General features: G+C 41.7%; 1 protein-coding gene and 1 pseudogene across 21 annotated transcripts in view, besides 6 other annotated features; one reads left to right on the forward strand and one right to left on the reverse strand.

Annotated features, from left to right (window-relative positions):
• Positions 671-965: a silencer, noted in NCBI's record as "tiled region #9633; K562 Repressive non-DNase unmatched - State 18:Pol2". NCBI's record gives its function as "represses a minimal TATA promoter and a strong SV40 promoter by Sharpr-MPRA in K562 cells {active_cell/tissue: K562}" and the evidence as "EXISTENCE:reporter gene assay evidence [ECO:0000049][PMID:27701403]".
• Positions 981-6015, reverse strand: RPS23 (ribosomal protein S23). Its single transcript, NM_001025.5, has 4 exons — positions 5981-6015; positions 5354-5513; positions 4059-4179; positions 981-3916 (listed from the first exon to the last, which is right to left on the reverse strand). Exons 1-4 carry the CDS (start codon positions 5982-5984, stop codon positions 3770-3772), a joined length of 432 nt encoding a protein of 143 aa, NP_001016.1. The 5' UTR covers positions 5985-6015; the 3' UTR covers positions 981-3769.
• Positions 1228-1347: an enhancer, noted in NCBI's record as "active region_22735". NCBI's record gives its function as "activates an Ori minimal core promoter by ATAC-STARR-seq in GM12878 lymphoblastoid cells {active_cell/tissue: GM12878}" and the evidence as "EXISTENCE:reporter gene assay evidence [ECO:0000049][PMID:35858748]".
• Positions 1697-2391: an enhancer, noted in NCBI's record as "OCT4-H3K27ac-H3K4me1 hESC enhancer chr5:81569855-81570549 (GRCh37/hg19 assembly coordinates)". NCBI's record gives its function as "activates a minimal SCP1, AML or CMV promoter by ChIP-STARR-seq in naive H9 embryonic stem cells {active_cell/tissue: H9 hESC(naive)}" and the evidence as "EXISTENCE:reporter gene assay evidence [ECO:0000049][PMID:30033119]".
• Positions 2156-2205: a silencer, noted in NCBI's record as "silent region_16150". NCBI's record gives its function as "represses an Ori minimal core promoter by ATAC-STARR-seq in GM12878 lymphoblastoid cells {active_cell/tissue: GM12878}" and the evidence as "EXISTENCE:reporter gene assay evidence [ECO:0000049][PMID:35858748]".
• Positions 2392-3085: an enhancer, noted in NCBI's record as "OCT4-H3K27ac-H3K4me1 hESC enhancer chr5:81570550-81571243 (GRCh37/hg19 assembly coordinates)". NCBI's record gives its function as "activates a minimal SCP1, AML or CMV promoter by ChIP-STARR-seq in naive H9 embryonic stem cells {active_cell/tissue: H9 hESC(naive)}" and the evidence as "EXISTENCE:reporter gene assay evidence [ECO:0000049][PMID:30033119]".
• Positions 6006-6335: an enhancer, noted in NCBI's record as "active region_22736". NCBI's record gives its function as "activates an Ori minimal core promoter by ATAC-STARR-seq in GM12878 lymphoblastoid cells {active_cell/tissue: GM12878}" and the evidence as "EXISTENCE:reporter gene assay evidence [ECO:0000049][PMID:35858748]".
• Positions 6311-19497, forward strand: part of ATP6AP1L (ATPase H+ transporting accessory protein 1 like (pseudogene)) — a 40157-nt pseudogene continuing 26970 nt past the window's right edge. For 14 of the 20 annotated variants that reach the window (NR_172117.1, NR_172107.1, NR_172108.1 and 11 more), the window contains exons 1-2: positions 6311-7388; positions 8621-8672. The product of NR_172117.1 is annotated as an ATPase H+ transporting accessory protein 1 like (pseudogene), transcript variant 12 (transcript). Of the gene's footprint in view, positions 7540-8620; positions 8673-18478; positions 18529-19497 lie in introns of all 20 variants that reach the window. The other 6 variants (NR_172121.1, NR_172115.1, NR_172119.1 and 3 more) reach the window with 5 other exon arrangements.

Consider the following 19497-nt stretch of genomic DNA (forward strand, 5'->3'; position numbering starts at 1 on the left):
AACCAGCTGTAACTGTCTATGTATGGAAACTGGTCTGGGTGCCTTGGCTTACCAGTTACCTTGTGTCATACCTTTGAAACAAGAGACCTGTCCAGGCTTCCTTCTGATGGCCAACCTACTTCTAATGCTGGCCAGTCTATTTCACACAAAGTTCTAAGTTTTCCTGGTGTCATAGTAACACTGTAATCTCCCTTAAATCCTTTCTTGAAATTTTTCAAGATAGTTCCTAGTGGGGTGGGCTTACTTTGCACCTGACCTATGTTTGTTTGTTTTTTTTCCTGAGACAAAATACCACGCTCACACCACACACACACACCAGAAGACAAAGAACGGGTAAAGAGGGCACACACACACTGTTACCGTTTATACCAAACCAAAATCACGAAATTCAAAATCCGAGTACCAAAAAATTCAAGCCAAGTCAAAACCAAAACCACAGTATCCAGCAATTCAAGTCAAGTCAAAACCAGAACAAAAGTGCCAATGCAGGCACACCGTGGGTGATCAGGCCACGCTTCCACTCAGATGGAGTGGGGCAAGTTCCAAAGACTAGTTTTACCAAGTCAAGCCAAGTCAAAACCAGAACAAAAGTGCCAATACAGGCACACCATGGGTGATCAGGCCACGCTTCCACTCAGATGGAGTGGGGCAAGTTCCAAAAACTAGTCTTACCAAGTTTCAGATGTCTGGACTCCAAGTGCCAGTTCCTTCCCGGTTCCCGGTGTTCAGCCACTGTGTTAATCCTCCGCAGGGGCCTGCTATGTGCTGCTCTGGCGAGGCGTTCCACCGGGGCAACTGCCTACCCAGGAGCACTCTTTGGATGGCATCACTCAGGCTGGCCGGAGTCCCCCGCAGGGACGCTCCACGGGGCAGGCCTAAGTTGCCTAAGGGGCTGTCTCAGCCGTCCGTCAGTCACCTCGTTTCCTGGTCAGGGAACCAAGAAATGTAGCAGGACGAGCCGCAGACAAAACCTCTCAGAGTTGTAGAAGGAAGGGCTTTATTCAGCTGGGAGCATCGGCAAGCTACAGCCTTAAAATCTGAGCTCCTCAAGTGCACAATTTCTGTCCCTTTTAAGGGCTCACAACACTAAAGATTTCACATGAAAGGGTCGTGATTGATTGAGCAATCTAGGGGATATGTGACAGGGGTTTCATGCACTGGTACAGAACACAACAGGGAGTTTCACAATTTTTTTATACAATGCTTGGAATCTACGGATAACATCAGGTTCTAAGTCGTAAGTTGATTTTTAACTACTAGGTTTAGGCCAGGCAGGCCCAGGGCTGGTTTCAGGCCTGGTGCCGGGCTGCCTGTCTTTGATTTCACTTCCTTGTTTTTTTCTTAAAACAGGTACTGAGTATAAAACAATATAAAACAATATGAGAAGGTCTCTCTCTTCCCTCAAGAGTGTATGACTTTGCTGCCCAGGATGATCTTGAACTCCTGGCCTCAAGCTATTAATTTCTTCCCAACTCAGCCTCCCAAAGTGCTGGGATTACAGGCATGAACCACAGCGCCCAGCTTAACAGGATTTTTCAGAGAGAAAAAGTTTTTTAATTTTAATGAAATCCACCAATTTATCTATTTTTTCTTTTACGGCATGTGCTTTTGGTGTAATGTCTAAAAACTATACCTACGCCTAGGTTGTAAAGATAGTCTGTTTTCAGTTTTATAGCTTTCCATTTTACATTTAGATATATGATCCATTTTGAGTTAAGTTTGTATTACATGTAAGGTTGGGGTTCCTTTGTTTTGGTCTTTGACAAATGGAAGTCCACAACATTTATTGAAACTCTTCTTCCTCCATTGGTTTTAAGATAAATCCGTTGGCCATACTTCTGAATGTCTATTTATGGATTCCCTATCTTATTTTATTGATGTGTATTTTTGTCTCTCCTCCATGGATACATGAAGGAAAGGGCCTTGGACACAAGGCAGTGGGGAAAGGGGCTGGGGGGCCACACAGAGAAAGGAGAAGGCACTAAGATCAGGCTCAGCAGCTTCTGGATCTGAGGCGCCGGAGATTATTTATGGGTCAATCTGGCAGCCCCTGGGCCTCAGGTAGGACTGCTTAGCAGTGAAAAGGGCGTCCTGGGTGCAGCCAACAGGGTACAGCTGCAAGCCATTGTTGAAGGTGTCTTGACGTATCAGAGAAGGCAGGTAACCAGGCCACATCCCTGGGCGCCCGCGCTGTCCCACTCCCTTCCTGGTGCGCCCCGCCTCGCGGTCACAAGGGCCCCACCGCCCGGGGAGAGCTGCCCACCCCGCGCCTGACGCCCAGGGCCTGGAATCGCGCTGCAACCGCGGCCTCTTTCCCTGGTTCTGGCCAGGTGAGCGAGGCCTAGCAATCTCTCCCGCATCACAAAGGATTGGGTCAGTTAAGGCTCATCCGAAAGCATCTGTTGAGCCCCTGGGAACAGCTTAGCCAAATACTGACTGCAGCTACACGTTAGGAAACACTGGTACAAACCAACAGGCAGCCTTTCCGCCCTTGCGGAGGGAGAGACTAGCATCATCATCAAGAGATAAACCGAAGTGTGCTGGAAAACACACGAGCTCTTTAGTAAGAGCAGGCGACATGCAAGGAACCATAGTAACAGGAACAGAGGTCCTGAGGCTGGATATGGAACCCAAGTTTGAGGATGACCAACTGAGACCAGTGTTGCTGGAGCACAAAGTGCCAAGGAGAGAAATGGCAGGCTAAGGCTGGAATATGCAGGTATGAAGCGCAACCTGGGTTCTTCTGTGCCATGTGAAAGGTTCTGCTCTTGATCCTACGGAAAGTGGGCAACCAAACCAATTGTTTTCCAAAGATCCTAAACAATGTAAAGCTAGGCTTTGATCAAAGGGCTAATTAACCCATACTTACTATTTGTTAACAGGAGTTTCTTACATCAGATTTAAAGCAGAAGGCTCACAGCTTCATTTCAACCATGCCACTGTATCCATGAAAACTCTGAAACAAGTATTTGTGGACAGCAAAATCCACATGTACTCAATACCTAGCTTAAATTATCAAAACACAACCAATCTTGTCTCTACACTAAACCACTTCATTTGCTGACTAGTCTTTGAAGACATGAAGGTCTCTGACAACCTCATGAGAAGATACTGAAAACATCAGTCTTGTCGTATACCTTATCTCCCTTGCCTGGCATATACTTCCATCAACTAAATGATCCAATGCCTGTATTCTCCTAAACACATTAATGTAGACACATTACAACACAGATCCTGACACCTTTAAATAATAAACAGAGTGGGGAGCAATTTTGAGTTTACTATTTATCATCTTGGGCCCCTGTAAGATGGATACAAGAATGTGCATTTCCAAGGGTACCTAAGATAATCTATGTGCAATGAAATTTGGTAACTGAAGTGTTGCACCCGATATGGAAAATACCAAGAATAAAAAAGAAAGTATCTCACTAGAATTTCAGTGAGTTTTTGAAGTTCCCTTAAAGTTCTTAAAGTAATACTACAATACTGCACATTTATTCCAGATCTATCCCATTTTCTTATTCCACAGGATGAGGGAAACTGTGCCAGGTTACAAATGTTATTAACTCTAGAGAATCCTGAAACAACCCTGTCTTATTGTCTCCTAAAATTGGTACAGGTCCTGCGTTTGCTGGTTTAGGATAAAAAAAATAAGGGGGGGTGGTGGTGGTAATGAACATGATCTTCGTGGTGAGAACAGGGGACAGTAAGATACAAACATTTTTTGGCATATGAAAATTTATTACTACAGTGTTTTCACCATTAATATTTATGATCTTGGTCTTTCCTTCTTGCCTTTGTATAGGGCCAAAAGAGAAACATTGGCTACTTTGACAACCTTAAAGCGGACTCCAGGAATATCACCAACAGCATGACCTTTGCGACCAAATCCAGCAACCAGAACTTCATCATTTTCCTGGAATAAAATAAGAAGTTTATTTCTGGTGTTGGTGGCGATCACAAAAATACTTTCATGTGAGGAAACTCCCTTGCATCAGATAAAAATGTGAGGGAGGCCACCCCAAGAACAGAAGGTACGATAGAGTTGAAATACTCACCTCAATAAAGTTCAAGCAACCGTCATTGGGTACAAAGGCTGTGATTTTCTTGCCATTCTTGATCAGCTGGACCCTTACACACTTCCTAATGGCAGAATTTGGCTGTTTGGCTTCAACTCCTCTGAAATACAAAAGGCACAGCACTGTGAGCTGGCTTTCTGAAAAAGATTATCTTTTCATATTAACTAGAGAACTAATGAGAAACTGTTTCTATCTTTTCAATCTAACCTCAAATGGCTGAGCTGAAGTCCTGTGATGTCAACCTAGTTTTCTGCCAGTCTTAATTTCATTAGCACAATGGGGGAAATTTCTAGACCTTTTACAGTTATAAAAGTAGACTGGAGTGGCAGCGTGGGCCTGTAGTCCCAACTACTTGCGAGGCTGACGTGGGAGGATCTATGCCTAGAACGTCAAGATGGCCAGCCTGTGTGACAAGGGACCCTATCTCAAAAAAAAAAAAAGAAAAAAGAAAAAAGGTATCTGAGGTAAGAATTAGAAAGTCTGGGCCGGACACAGTGGCTCACGCCTGTAATTCCAGCACTTTCGGAGGCCGAAGCAGGCATTATCACCTGAGGTCAGGAGTTTGAGACTAGCCTGGTCAACATGGTGAAACCCCATCACTACTGAAAATACAAAATATTAGCTGGTGTGGTAGTGGGCGCCTGTAATCCCAGCTACCTGGGAGGCTGAGGCAGGAGAAATGCTTGAACCTGGGAGGCTAAGGTTGCAGGGAGTCTTGCGCTACTGCACACCAGCCTGGGTGACAGAGCTAGACTGTCTCAAAAAAAAAAAAAAAAAAAAAAAAAGTCTGGGTTAAAATGGCTCTACCATCAAATATGATAGAACTATATGAAATTATTATTTTAAAAAGTCAAAACCAGTCAAATACTGGCAGTTTCATGTCTCAATCTTAGGTGTATGACCTCAATTAATTCTGATGCAAGTCACTTCTCTTCACCTTAGTTTTATCAAGTCGATAAAGTTCAATAGCTGACACGTGCCATTTACTTATAACAACTCCCACAGTAAAGGTGTTTGTGTCCTTTACTTCATCATTGCTAGTATCTTCTCCAATTCCTTCCAGGCCAACGTTAAATTAAAACCTTAACTACCTAATTCCCAAAAACTAATTTTACCAACTTTTAAATAGAACAAACGCTTTGCAATTTTACCCCACAATGCCCAAATGAATACTACTACACAAAAACCTGCAATTACTTTCAAAACAAGAATTCGTAAGTTCATGTCTCGAATTCCTATAATAAACTAAAACTTGACGGGAGCAATGGACTTACACTTTTTCCAGCACGATTCCTTTTGCATGAGAAGCACCTCCAAAAGGGTTGGCCTTTAGGGCTGTGCCCAAATGAGCTTTCTTATACTGTTTATCATGCCACTTCTGGTCTCGTCGGTGACTACGGAGCTTCCTAGCAGTACGAAGTCCACGACACTTGCCTAAAAATTAAATATTTTAGTTCTTCCGTAAAAACACGCCATCTACGTGTTTCCCATCTTCTAAGACACTCGCCTCACCTGGAATAAACCCTTAAGCCGATTGGCTCTCGTACTATTTATTGGCCTGTGGGCCAAACATTTGGCCTTCAAGTTGCCCTGAACCGACTAATAAACGTTCGAAGAGGGCTCCGGAGAATGTGTTCTCCCGAAGGACGAGGCCCCGCTCGAATGCCCGGGAGGAAGCGCTGGCCTCCCTGCGTCCCTCGGTACCCCGACCTCGGCGGCCTCCACGCCTCATGGGCCCCTTCCGCGCCGGACCACGTGCCTCCTGGAGCGGCGCTTCCCCGGCCCTCCCCCATGGAGCCTCTCCATGGCATCCCCCGCCCTACTCTATTCGCATCCGCCCGCCCGTCCCCAAGACCCCAAGTCCCGCTTGCAGCGCCCTTAAACCGGCCACAACAGCTCACCCATCCTGTCGGCGCCACGGGCCTGAGCGAAAGAGAGAAGCACCGCAGGAAGGAGCCACAAGCCACCGCGAGCAAGCCCCGCCCAGCCAAGGACCCCGCGCCGCTGTCTGCGCCGCGCCTGACCCGAGGCTGGGGTCTCTCCTTTGAAAACGACGCGTTTGCATCACTTTCCTGAGCCAGAATCTGCGTCTTATTTAATTTGCAAGAAATTCAGAGATATCTAATTTGCATGGTTTTTTTTCCCCCTTTTTCTTTTGAATGCTGGAGACCGGAGGAACATGGACTACCAATCCCAGAATGCGTTTTATGGGACCCGCTCACCGCGCAGGCGCTCTTGCCCAAGCCACTGAGAGCGGGACGCGGGGCTAGGTCAGAGTAGGAAGGAGTCGCTGAGCTGAATCTTTGTGGAGTGGAGTGGGGCGAGAGTCCTCCGAGTAGTCTGGAAAATTAGACTTCTGAGCCTTAATTCATACTTATAAGCAGCTAGTAAATTGTAAAATATAGTGAAGCAATGTAGTGTAGTAACTAAAACCCCAAGCTTTGGAGCCAGATTGGGCCTTTAACCCTAAAGTTGCCGTTTATTTTGACTGGCGAGTCATTTACTTATAGATTTATTTATTTTTATTTTTATTTTTTTCTGAGACAGGGTCTCACTCTGTCTTCTAGGCTGTTGTGCAGTGGTGCGATCTTGGCTCACTACAACCTCCGCCTCCCGGGTTCAAGCGATTGTCCCACCTCAGCCTCCTGAGTAGCTGGGATTACAGGCTTCCACCATCACGCCTGGCTGATGTTTGTATTTTCAGTAGAGAGGGGGTTTCACCATGTTGGCCAGGCTGGTGTCGATCTCCTGACCTCGAGTGATCCGCCCGCCTCGGCCTCCCAATGTGCTGGGATTACAGGCGTGAGCCACCGCGCCTGGCCATTTAATTAACTCTTTAATACTGTTTCTCCTGTAAGATGAACTAGCTGTGAGAGGTTTCTGGGATATTGGTTCACTCAGCAAGGATGTTTAAAAATGCCTTCTATGTGCCAGACGCTGTTGTAGGTACCGGGAATATGGCGGTTAAATTAAGAGGGTGAAGGTTTCTGCTCTGATACAGTTTATATTCTAAATGTGAGAGGACAGACCAGTTAGATAGATGTAAATTAAATAATTAAATAGATGATTTTTACATACTGTAGAGCTATAGAGAAAATATAGCTGGATGGGTGATAGTGACTTGGGGATGGGGGTGGCTACTCTGGATAGGGTAGTTTAAGGTGACATCTCTGTGCAGATGTAGAATGGGCTAGTGCTTTCTAAGAACTGAAAGATCAGTGAAGAAGGGGAGCATAGTGACTGAGGAGTAGTGTGGCATTAGATGGGGTCTGAGAGTTACACAGGAACATGTGGAGCCTGTAGGCCATGGTAAAGCCTTTTTCTACTCTTCTGGTGATTTAAAGCCATTGTAAAGTTTTGAGCTTGGGAGTAGGTAGCAAAATAAGATTTATATTTTTATGGGGTTACTCTGGCTGTTGAGAGGAGAAAAAGACATGAATCTGGGAGGCCACTTGGGAAGGTATTGCAATAGTTCAGATGAGAGATGGTGATAGCTTGGACCCTCAGTGGAGACAGTAAAAAGTGGTTGGGTCAGATACACTGTTTGGTGGTAGAATGAACAGAATTTGCTCAGGACTGTAGGATGTGAGAGAGGAGTTAATTACAGCACTATGATTTTTGACCTCAGCACTTGGGTGAGTTGTAGAGTTGTGAGTTGTGAGTTGGGTGAGTTCCAAAGTGGGAAATACGAGGAGAGGAGCAAATTTCAAAGGAGGAAATGAAGAGTTCTGGTTTGGATGTGTTAAGTTTGAACTGTCAAACATCCAGGGATGTGAAGTGGACAGTTGGATATATGATAAGAAGCTGAGGAGTAATCAATGAATAAATAGTATTAAAACTGTGGCTCTAGTTGAGATAGCTTAGGTGATGACTGTAGGTAGAACAGAGATTAGAGTCCTGAGCACACCAAAGTTTAGTGGTACAGAAGAGAAGGCAGGTGAAGCAAAACAGATGAAGAAAGAGTGGCCAATGTTACACTCTGTTCAAAGCCAAGTGAAGAAGGGAGTGAGAAAGTGTGAAAAGAGATAAGATGAGGACTGAGAATTGCCTTTTGGACTTGAAAATGTGGAGATTACTGGTCACTTTGTCAAATGGGGACTCCATGGAGTACTGAAAGTGAAAGGCGATGGGATCGGAGTGAAGAGAATATGGGAGGGAAGGAAGTCTAGACAGCAACTATAGACAATTTTTGAAAGACATTTTTTATGTGCAGAGAAATGGCACCCTATTTGGAGGGGAATGTGGAGTTGGAGGGTTTTATTTTTAAGATGGCAACTTTTATGACATTTTTGTATGCTGATCAGGTTGAGAAAATTAAAAATGGGTTATTCAGCAGAGAAGGGATAATTGCAGGAGCAACTCCTTAAGTAGACTAGAAGGGTACCCAAGTGGAGGAGTTAACTGTAGGAACAATAACAGTTTATGTATGGTAGTAGAGTGACAGGTACAGCTGCAAGTAAATTGGAAGATTTGATGATAGGAAGTTGTGGAACTTCTTCACTTTTGACTTACTTTTTCAATTTTTTCAATGAAATAAAAAGCAAGGCCATCAGTGAAGAGAAAGAGTGGGAGAAAAAGGTTTGAGGAGAGAAGGTAAGATGTGAAATCATCATCAATGATAACAATATAAGCATTAGATAGTATTTACTATGTGCCAGATTCTATTTTTGGCTTATATTTATTAACTCATTTTATTCTCATAAGGAATTTTACTGAGGGACAGATAACGATAATTTTACTGAGGGATAGATATACAAAAACTGAGGCTTTGGTGAGTTTAACTTCCCCAAGATCACGTATTTAGTAAGTGGTAGAAGTAAGATTTTAACCCAGGTAATCTGGTTTTAGAATCTTGTATTTGACCCCTCTTATACTGCCTCCTAATCTAGAATGGTAGGAAAATGCATTGACAAGAAAATAGGTTTTTTGAGCAGTTCTGAGAGCCCATTTGAAATCTGTGTTTATGAAGTGACATCAGTGAGTTATGTGTATTTCTTCAGATTCACAAATACTGCATGTTTACACTTATATGTGGAATCTAAAAATTTTGAACGGATAGAAGCAGTGAGTAGAATGGTGGGCGTGGGAGTTTGGGGGATCTGGGGAGCTGTTGGTCAAAGGATACAAAGGTTTAGTTTGACAGGAGGAGAAAATTTTCGAGAGACTTGTTGAATAACATGGTGACTCCAGTTGACCCACAAACAATATGGGTTTGAATTGTGTGGGTCCACATACAGGCAGATTTTCTTCTGCCTCTGACACCCCGAGAAAGCAAAAACTCCTCTTCCTCTTCCTCCTCCTCAGCCTACTCAATGTGATGACCTTTATGATGATCCATTTCCATTTAATGAGTAGTAAATAAATTTTCTCTTCTTTCTAATTTTGTTATTAACATTCATTTCTGTGGCTTAATTTATTGTAAGAATATGGTATGTAATACACGTAACATGAAATATGTGTTAATAGGCTGTTTATGTTATCAGTAAGAGTTCCAGTCAACAGTAGGCTATTAGTAGTTAAGTTTTCGGAAAGTCGGAAGTTATACACAGATTTTCTACTGTGTGGGGAGGTCAGCATCCCTAACCCCCATGTTGTTCAAGGGTCAACTGTATAAATAACAAAGTTTATATTGAAAATTGCTAAAAGAATAGATTTTAAGTGTTCTCACCACAGAAAAATGATACAAAAGTATTTGAGGTAATGCATATGTTAGTTAGCTCTATTTAACCATTGTACAATGTACATATATATTTAAAATATGTTGTAAACCATAAATATACACAGATTTTGTTAAAGAATAAATAATTTAAAAATAATATTTAAAAAAGATGGAGCCACACAAAAAGTGATTACTCAATGAAATTGTGTCACTGTCTTACACTGAAAGCATAAATCAACTCTGGATAAATTAAGGGCTTAAATATCAACAAGAAAACTTTGAAATTCTTAATAGAGAACAAAGGTGAATATCTTTTTGAACTTAGGAAAGGAAAATGTTTCTACACATGACAAGAATGATAAATTTGATCATATTAAAATTAAGACCCTCTATTCATCAAAAACATCTGAAAGAAAGTGAAAAGACAAGTTCCATACTGAGAATTGCTATTCATAGCCACAAAACTTACAAAGGATTAATATTTTAAAAAATTTCTGGCCGGGCGTGGTGGCTCACACCTGTAATCCCAGCACTTTGGGAGGCCGAGGCAGGGGGATCACGTGAGGTCAGGAATTCGAGACCAGCCTGGCCAACATGGTGAAACCCCCTCTCTACTGAAAATACAAAAATTAGCCGGGTGTGGTGGCGCATGCCTGTAATCCCAGTTACTCAGGAGGCTGAGGCAGGAAAATCGCTTGAACTGAGGAGGCAGAGGTTGCAGTGAGCCGAGATCGCTCCATTGCACTCCAGCCTGGGCAACAAAGTGAGACTCTGTCTCAAAAGAAACAAACAAAAAAATCCCTTCTACAGAATAATATAAAAGAACAAATAATACAGTGAGAAAACATGACAAAGGACAGGAATAGACCAGCCATGGTGGCTCACATCTGTAATCCTAGCACTTTCGGAGACTGAGGCAGGTGGATCACTTGAGGTCAGGAGTTCAAGACCAGCCTGGCCAACATAGTGAAACCCCATCTCTTTACTAAAAATACAAAGAAAAAAAGAATTAGCTGGGCATGGTCGCGTCTGCCTGTAGTCCCAGCTACTCGGGAGGCTGAGGCAGGAGAATCGCTTGAACCCGGGTGGCAGAGGTTGCAGTGAACCGAGATCACACTACTGCACTGTAGCCTGGGCAACAGAGCAAGACTCTGTCTCCAAAAAAAAAAAAAAAAAGAAAAAGACATGAATAGGCATATCATAAAGAAGGAAACGTGTATGACCCATAAATATTTGAAGAGGTATTCATCATGTCTGATTATGATATAAATGTTAAACTTACTTGAAATTAGTTGGGGGAATACTTCCTCTTTTTCTGTTGTCTCTAAGTGTTCATATAAAATTGGGATGATTTGTTCCTTGAAGGTGTAGTCAAACATCCTGTAAAACCATTGGGGCCTGGTGTTTTCTTTATGGGAAGATTATTAACCACAGCTTAAATCTCTTTAATAGTTAAAGAAATACTTGTAAAACTGTAGGTTTTTTTTTTGAGTCAGATCTGGTAAGTCATTTTTCTGGGAATGTATCCATTTCATCTAAGTTTTCAAAATTATTTCATAAAGCTGTTATGATATTCTATTATGGGTATGTATATATACATATGTGTATATATATGTATATATTATATATTTGTGTTGGAAGGTTCCAAACTATGACTTCAGTTTCTTTAGTAGATGTAGTGCTATTCAGGTTATTTTTTCTTGAGTGAGCTTTGATGGTATGTGCCTTTCTGGGAATTTGTCCATTTCATCTAATTTGTCTAACTTATGGCATGAAGCTATTTGTAATATTCTCCTATTATCTTTTTAATATCCATAGATTTATAGTGATTTCTCATCTTTCATTCCTGATTTTGGTGATTTGTGTCTTCTCTCTTTCCTCTCTTGTTTCTTGGTCAGTGTATTAGTCAAGGTTCTTCAGAAAAACAGAACCAATAGAATGTATACGCATGCACACACATGCACACACACACGGAGGATTTATTATGAGAAACTGGCTCATGCAGTTGTGGAGGCTAAGAAGTCCCACAATCTGCTGTCTGCAAGCTGGAGACCAAAGATATCAGTTGTTTAATTCAGTCTGAGTTTGAAGGCCTGAGAACTGGGGCTGCTAACTGTGTAAATCTTAGTGCAAGGGCCAGATGAGATGAGATGAGATGTCAGGGAGAAATAAGGGGCAAATTCCTTCTTCTTCTGCCTTTTGTTCTATTTCAAGCCCTCAATGGATTGGATGATGTCTACATTGGAGAGGGCAATCTGCTTTACTGAGTCCCATGACTCAAATGCCAATCTTATCCAGAAACATCTTCACAGATACACCCAGAAATAATGTTGAATCTGGCCATCCCTAGGGCCAGTCAAGTTGATACACAGAATTAACCATCACAGTCAGCTAGAAGTCTAGCAATCTTATTGATCTGTTCAAAGAACCAGCTTTTTGTTTCACTAATTTTCTGTTATTTTTATTTATTTATGTTACTTTTTTTCTTTCCTTCCTTTTTTTTCAGCATGAACTATCAAGCAATCTATTGGTTTTTTGTTTGTTTGTTTGTTTTCATGTCATTTGGCCTTTATTGTTTACTTTCTTCTGCTTGTTTTGGACTTAAATTTGCTCTTTCTCTTTTTTTTTTTTGGTTTATTAAAGTGGAAGCTTAGATATATTTTTTTTAATTCTTTCTAATTTGGTCTTGAGGTCTCTCTCTGGAAAGTGGCTATAAAATGCATCCTTGCTGTGATGGGACTCCCTGATGGTTACGGATGCTTACAATGTACATTTCATGGGACACTTCTTTATCCTGGGGGATGGATGGCCTAATGCCTAAGTGTCTGACCCATGCCCAGGTGTCCCTTTCACAGTATGCTTGTTTTACTGGCAGACACCCTGTGGTTCCTTGTTGGCCTGTGTCTAGTTTTTTCCTACCAAGATAGCCTTTCTCTAGGAGACCCCTGACCAGGAAAGAAGTCTGGGTTTGTCAGCAGATGAAACACAGAGGAGGCAGCACAACAAAACACATCACATAACAGAAGCAGTTTGATTCCTTGACAGAGCCCAGAAAGAACAGGGCAGCACACCTTGCAGGGCCGTTTGGGACACACATGCTCAACCAGTGGGTAGGGGCAAGAGAGAGGCAGAGACAGAGGACTTGTGGGATTAAAGCATTTATTGGGGTCCAAAGTATTATCCAAGCAGGTTTCCCATGGGGAGTTTTCATTGGTGGGTTTAAAGCAAGCAGGCATGAGTTCTGTGGGGCCACGCTGTGACTGAGAGATGGTTACTGTGATATTTCCGTGCAGTCCGTGTGGGGTGTGGGGGTCAGTGGGGCATGTCCATGGGGCTGTATCTAGCTTCCCCATAGGGAGGTTGTCAACCGGAGGCAATTGTATCGGGGGCTATCTAGATCGACCACATTGAGGAATGGGAAGAAGTAGAGAAATGGAAACTGTGTCAAGTGTGACTAAGCCCTGCTCTGGCATGAGAAAGTTCAACTTATATTCAGAATTGATGCTGAGGTAACATAGCATTATAGAATTCACTACAGTCATTGATTTGAAACCTTCAGTCTTTTCTAATATATTTAATGCTCTACATATCCCTCTAAGCACTGCTTGAGCTGCATGCCTCAGGTTTTGGTATGTTATGTTTTAGTTTTAATTCAATTCAAAATGTTTATTAATTTCTCTTTTGACTTCCTTTTGAACCATGGAATTAGAAGTATGTTACTTATTTTCAAATATTTGGGAATTTCCAAATATATGTGAATTTTCTATGAACATTTGAAAAGAGAGTATATTCTGCTGATGTTGGGTGGAGCATTCTATAAATATTAACTGGCCCAAGATGGTTGATAGAGCTATTCAGGTCTTCTGCATCCTGTATTCAGGATGATAGCGACATTAAGTGGAGGGAGGTGAGGATCATATTTGGATGGTGGATCATATTTGGATGTTGGATTATGGCTTTCAGTAATGAGCTTAATTATTACATTTTTATACATTTTAAAAATCCCACAAATAAGGCATGAACCAATGGTCAGAGTGTGTTATGAGCCAAGGATTATGATTGCTATTTCTCAGAAAAGAAAAAAAAAAAGGGATTTAATTTTTGTTTCTTGGTGCATTAAATTTTGAATTTTTCACTTTGTGATGAACTTATTACTTAATTTGGAGCCGGAAAGGAGAAGGGACTATCCTTTGATATTGGACTCTAAAGTTCCCTACAAGAGTCCCCCAAAAGAATCTGCTTGGAGTTAGAGGAAAAAAAACAAGACCCCAGGGCTGCAGACTGGTGAGCCGGCAGGAAAGTAGAGGAAGGTGAAGTCAGAGAAGTGGGCAGGGCCAACTTGTGTCCAAACTGTAGGCTGGGATAAGAGATTGGGGTTTTATTCCAACTGTAATGAGAAGCACTGGAGGGGTTAAAGTAAGAGAGTGACAAGATCAAATCTACATCTTAAAATGCTCCCCGTGCCTGCTATAGAAGAACCATGACAGAGGGGCAAGGCCTCAGGTTATTTAAGGAGGGGGCTGCTACAATAGTCCAGGTGAGAGGGAGTAGGTAGTAATAACTTTGGAGGTGGAGAGATGTCATACTCTTCAGGATACATTTTGGAGTTAGGTCATGAACGAAAGAGCAAAAGAACTGACATCATCACTGTCACCATCACCACCATCACCTTTTCTAATATGTACTGAGTGTTATTTTGGTGCCAGACATAGGACTACTAAGCATTTCACATGCATAATATCTTTTAATCCTCAAAATAATCCCTATGTCATAGGTGCTATTAGCCCCATTTTACAAAGAGAAAAGGAGACTTACAGAAGTTAACTTGATTAACTTCTTTGTTTGTTGGTTTTCAGATTAGTAATAAGGCAGAATTTTGATTTTTAAGTTTAGAAAAAATTTTAATGAATGTGAACTAAATAAGGCACAAAATAGATGGAAACAGAATAGACAAACATCGGGAAAACTAGAGAGTTATCATTAAGATTAAAGTATTTTTATTGTAAGTTTCAACCTGCTATCTTTGGGTTACTATGGAGTATATGAAAACCAAGAGACACCATCACTAGAGAATCCTATTTGGTAGCTCTTGCAATGTGGGGGGAGTGGGAGCAGGAAGGAGAACAATTTTCCCTCTTTTCTGTTATCTTCCAAGTAGAAGGAGTTTAATTAATAAACTGGTTTCTGTCTGTCACTTTACTCATCCCATGCCAGGTAAGGATGTGTGACATCTGCATCACATTTAGAAAGAGTAGTCTAGGCATGTTCAGCTTTTCCTTTTTGAGACCCAGCCTGACCACAGAGCATGCATTTCTCCTTTTTTTTTTCCTAGGCAGGCCTTTTTCTCCCACCAACAGCCTAGTGCTGCCAGGATAGGCTGCCATGTCTGTCTTCTGCTGGGAGGTCTCAGTTACAATCCATTTTGCTCCTACTCTAAGCTTTCCTCCATTCTCTGTCCTGGCCTTGCACGCCAATAAAGGTGGCATTTGGGCCTCTGCTTGTCTTACCCCTTGTGCTATTTCTCATTTGGTTTAACATTTAGTTGGGGTAGAAAGGCATTTCTATTTGACTTCTCTCAGAGACACCCCACTCTCTCCAACCAAGAAGAAAGGTAGGTCTTCATGTATTAGATCAGTTGATGAGGAGATTTAGGTCAAGAGTGATCATGATTCTTAATAGCACCCTGGGCAGAGCTAGCCATTTTGGGAGAAGAGCCAAAGGTTTTTACAATGTTGACGATGAATACTGGAACATTTAGGGGGGTTGGGAATGATTCCTAGTACTTTAGCTAGAAAAAGGGAGGCAGCAGTTGCTATGGAAATGTGACAAATTAAAATAACAGCTTTAAGTGAGCATGAAGAAGCAGTGAGGGTAACACCGATGATTACGTGCTCTGTGTAACTACTCATGATGAATGTTGAGTGCTTCATTTTCCTGATTAAATTATTAAACACAATTTTTTCTTTATCCAAAATGAATGATATTTCTTTTCTTTTTTTTTTTTTGAGACGAAGTCTCGCTCTTGTCACCCAGGCTGGAGTGCAATGGCGTGATCTTGGCTCACTGCAACCTCCGCCTTCCAGGTTCAAGCCATTCTCCTGCCTCAGCCTCCCGAGTAGCTGGGATTACAGGCACCACCACCATGCCCGGCTAATTTTTTGTATTTTTAGTAGAGATGGGGTTTCACTATGTTGGCCAGGCTGGTCTCGAACTCCTGACCTCGTGATCCACCCACCTCGGCCTCCCAAAGTGGTGGGATTACAGGCGTGAGCCACTGCGCCTGGCCTGAATGAGATTTCTTATCCTCTCATTCTAGCTACTGCTTGGTGCAGTGATTATTTCTTCTCACATCTATTCCAAGGTAGAACTAAAGAAATAAGTCTGTGTTGCCATATGATCTTACTAATATTCAGAGCTGATCTTTAAAATCTGGTTATTATAATTAAACCTCTGTGCAGGATCTAGGGGGAGTTGACAAAGCTGTTCTTTGATGCTCTTTGTAAAATTCCTGGAAGGGAGGTATAATTTTAAGATGCATATTAAAAGTTATTCTCCAGGTGTTCTTGAGCTTGGCTGAGAACCAAGCAAAGGGAAATAAGCTTCTATTTCAGTAGAGACCTTTGAGTTCTAAGCAAAGAAAGATAATTTTTCTTACTAGGAAAAGAAAGATAATTTTTCTCACTGCAATGTGAGAAATGTGTTAGAATCTCCTTCCCTGGAGAGATTTCAGAACTGGGTAGATGGACCAGATCTGGGTTGTCTATGAGTTCAGTGGGGAAACAGTTGATCTTTGGTGATGGAGCATGGTAGAAGTGACTCTTGCAGCCCTTGCATTCCACAGTAAAATGAAAAATCATCAGGATTATTTCAAGATTATTCAAATATAATATGTAAATGAGTATAATATATAAATATAAAAATTCCTACCAAAATAAGCATGCAAAATGTCAGACACTTTATATTATTAAGACTTTGTCGCTTAAAGGGCTTTACTGTAAAACAGTTTTTTCCTTTAAAAAAAAAGAACAAGAGAGAAAAGGAAGGAAATAGAGGAAGAAAAAAGAAAAGAAGAAGAGAGGGGGTTCTGGGTTTGTATTGCTGTACAAAAGAACAGAAGCAATTTTTCTATGGATTTAAAAATTGCTTTTTGATCTCGTTGGTTCTAGCAATCATTACTAATTATGAGGATAGCCAAAATGAATGACTCTGTAGCCAGTTCATAGATACAGCCATTTCGCATACTATGGAATAGTGTGCTCATGTATGTGTGAATTTTAAAATTACTTAGATGGGTTTTAAGTTAGAATTCACAAACATATTTAATTATTTAGAAAATAATATCTTGGAGTTGTTACCAAGTAGTTGTATATAATACTCCCTTTGAAACTAAGTGTGCATGGCTGGGCGTGGTGGCTCATACCTGTAATCCCAGCACTTTGGGAGGCCGAGGCAGGTAGATCACCTGAGGTCAGGAGTTTGAGACCAGCCTGGCCAACATGGTGAAACCCCATCTCTAATAAAATTACAAAAATGATCCAGGTGCAGTGGCTCACGCATGTAGAGTCCCAAGCTACTCAGGAGGCTGAGGCATGAGAATCGCTTGAACCAGGGAGGTGGAGACTGCAGTGAGCTGAGATCATGCCATTGCACTCCGGTCTGGGCAACAGAGTGAGACTCCGTCTCAAAAAAAAAAAAAAAAAAAAAAAAAAGGGAAACTAAGTGTGCTGGCTAATTTATATCCAAATAATTCATTTTGCCCTTGTTATAAATGTGACTTCAAGGATAAGGCAACATCACATGGCACATATTCTCAACCTGAGTTTCATCTCAGTGTCTCTGTCAAGGTGGACACCACAGGTGCCTGGTGAGAGCATGTTTTGAGGCTAGTGGAGGCCTTTTCCTTTCCTGGGACCCAGGTCTGTGAGGCTCAAGCGTCTCTTCCTAGTCTTGCCTTGATTACCACACTAAAAGTGTCATTTAGCAAATCCTTCTAATAAAGGCTCTTTTGTACTTTAGGTAAAGAAACCCATATGAGAGTGTCTTGTCTATTATGTACCTACCACTTTGTCTCCTTCATTTAATCAGCCATTGCCTGGGGAAGAGGTGGGGCTGACCTCAAGAAAGGTCACTGGTTTGCTGGGTGAATATCCCAAAGGTGTTTACATTTCTGCATGTTACTGGGCTGGGAGGATTTTGGGGGCAAGGACTGTATTTTTCACTTTGTATTCCTGGTAAAGAATGTAGCACGGTGACAGTCAGTATTTCTTGAATGCACAAATTTGTTTCAAGAGCAGGCCTCCTGTCTTAGTTTAGCTTGAGCAGCCCAGAACACAATTAAGTGCTATTAATCTGGCATATCATCTGTGTTCCAAGAAGTCAAAGGGAAACCTAAAGTGAGAAACATGAACATTTAAATTAAAAGCACTTACAACTATTTAATGTAGCATCCTGATTCTAATTAATGCAGAAGTTAATTTGATGAAAATTGGCAGAAATCATGGCAGCAATTTTGCTCTGAAATTGATAAAGGGTTATACAGTACCTCCTGCTCCTTGGGGAATGGAGGGTGCTATGAACTGATGTAACCTGGATTTTGTGTGTTCCCATTTTCAAGTGGCAGAATTCTATGGAATACTTGAATTAATTGATTTTCCCATTATAATTGCCTAAAGACTCAGGCCTTGGGAGTCATAACCATGTGGCACAAAGTGGGAATTAATTATGTGGCATTTTTTGATAGGATCATTCATTCATTCCGTATATTTTACTGAGCACCAACCTGGGCTCCAGGTATGTATCAGTCAAATAGACATAGTATCTACCCTCATGGAGCGTGCCTTGTGATGAAGAAACAGCATCAATAAGTACATGAGAAAATAAATCTCTCAGTGCAAATTGTGATATGTGTTATGATGAAAGTGAATAGAATACACGGAGAGCTAGAGAGGTGTGAGGTGACTTCACAGAGAGAATAGTATGTGCAAGGTCACTTGGGTGCAATGGAGCTTGGCATGTTGAGGGTGCTGAGAAGCTGAGTGCGAGCCAGTGTGCCTGGAACATGTTCAGGATGAGGAGCTGGTGTTAAATGAGGCAAGAGAGACCAGCAGGGGCCACGCCATGCTGGGCTTTGTAGGAGTTACGTGGATTTGGATTTTGAATCACTATGCAAAGACCATTATAATTGATTGAAACATTTATGCAAGTTTTGGTCTGAGAGCGTTGAATGAATAGAGACTGTGCACCTGTTAGTCTTCTTAAGGTAAATATTAGAATTCTTAAGTTAGATCCATTTTTGTTCCTGTGGGAACACAATTCTATATGGTCATATGTGATTATGGGAAGATAGATTTTTGATATTCAAATATTCAGGTAACATATCATTTAGTTATATATAGTAAATAAAAAAATGAAGCAAACCCAAGTTGTGTCCAGTTGTAAAGAAGGCAGCATGGCTGTACAACTTCCTGTTCTCCTGTGGAGACAGTAGAGGGGAAATTTTCCATGTGCCTCTGCATTTTCTGCCTGTATTGTGAGCTAGTCCCTAACTGCTCTTTGTTCTGAATACCTTTTCTAGGATGTTTGTATAGGGAGAAGCCTTGAACGGTAGAAATCATGTCCCCTTTGTAGCAAAGGACAGGCTTGCTTATAGCATTGGAAAGTAGAGGTAGTATTTCCCCTCAGAGCAAAGGGCAGATAGGTTTACTACTCACTATAAAAAAATTGGGGCTCCGTAAGCTCAGGGTTTCTCTCCTGAGATGA

Source organism: Homo sapiens, chromosome 5, assembly GCF_000001405.40.
Source record: "Homo sapiens chromosome 5, GRCh38.p14 Primary Assembly".
Taxonomy (NCBI): Eukaryota; Metazoa; Chordata; class Mammalia; order Primates; family Hominidae; genus Homo; species Homo sapiens.

What these genes read in the sequence shown, in the direction of transcription:
- RPS23 (NM_001025.5), bottom strand. An exon ending in GGAATCGTGCTGGAAAAAGT is followed by an intron (nt 4,180 to 5,353) that starts GTAAGTCCATTG and finishes TTTGTATTTCAG; the next exon opens with AGGAGTTGAAGCCAAACAGC. An exon ending in GTTGCTTGAACTTTATTGAG is followed by an intron (nt 3,917 to 4,058) that starts GTGAGTATTTCA and finishes ATTTTATTCCAG; the next exon opens with GAAAATGATGAAGTTCTGGT.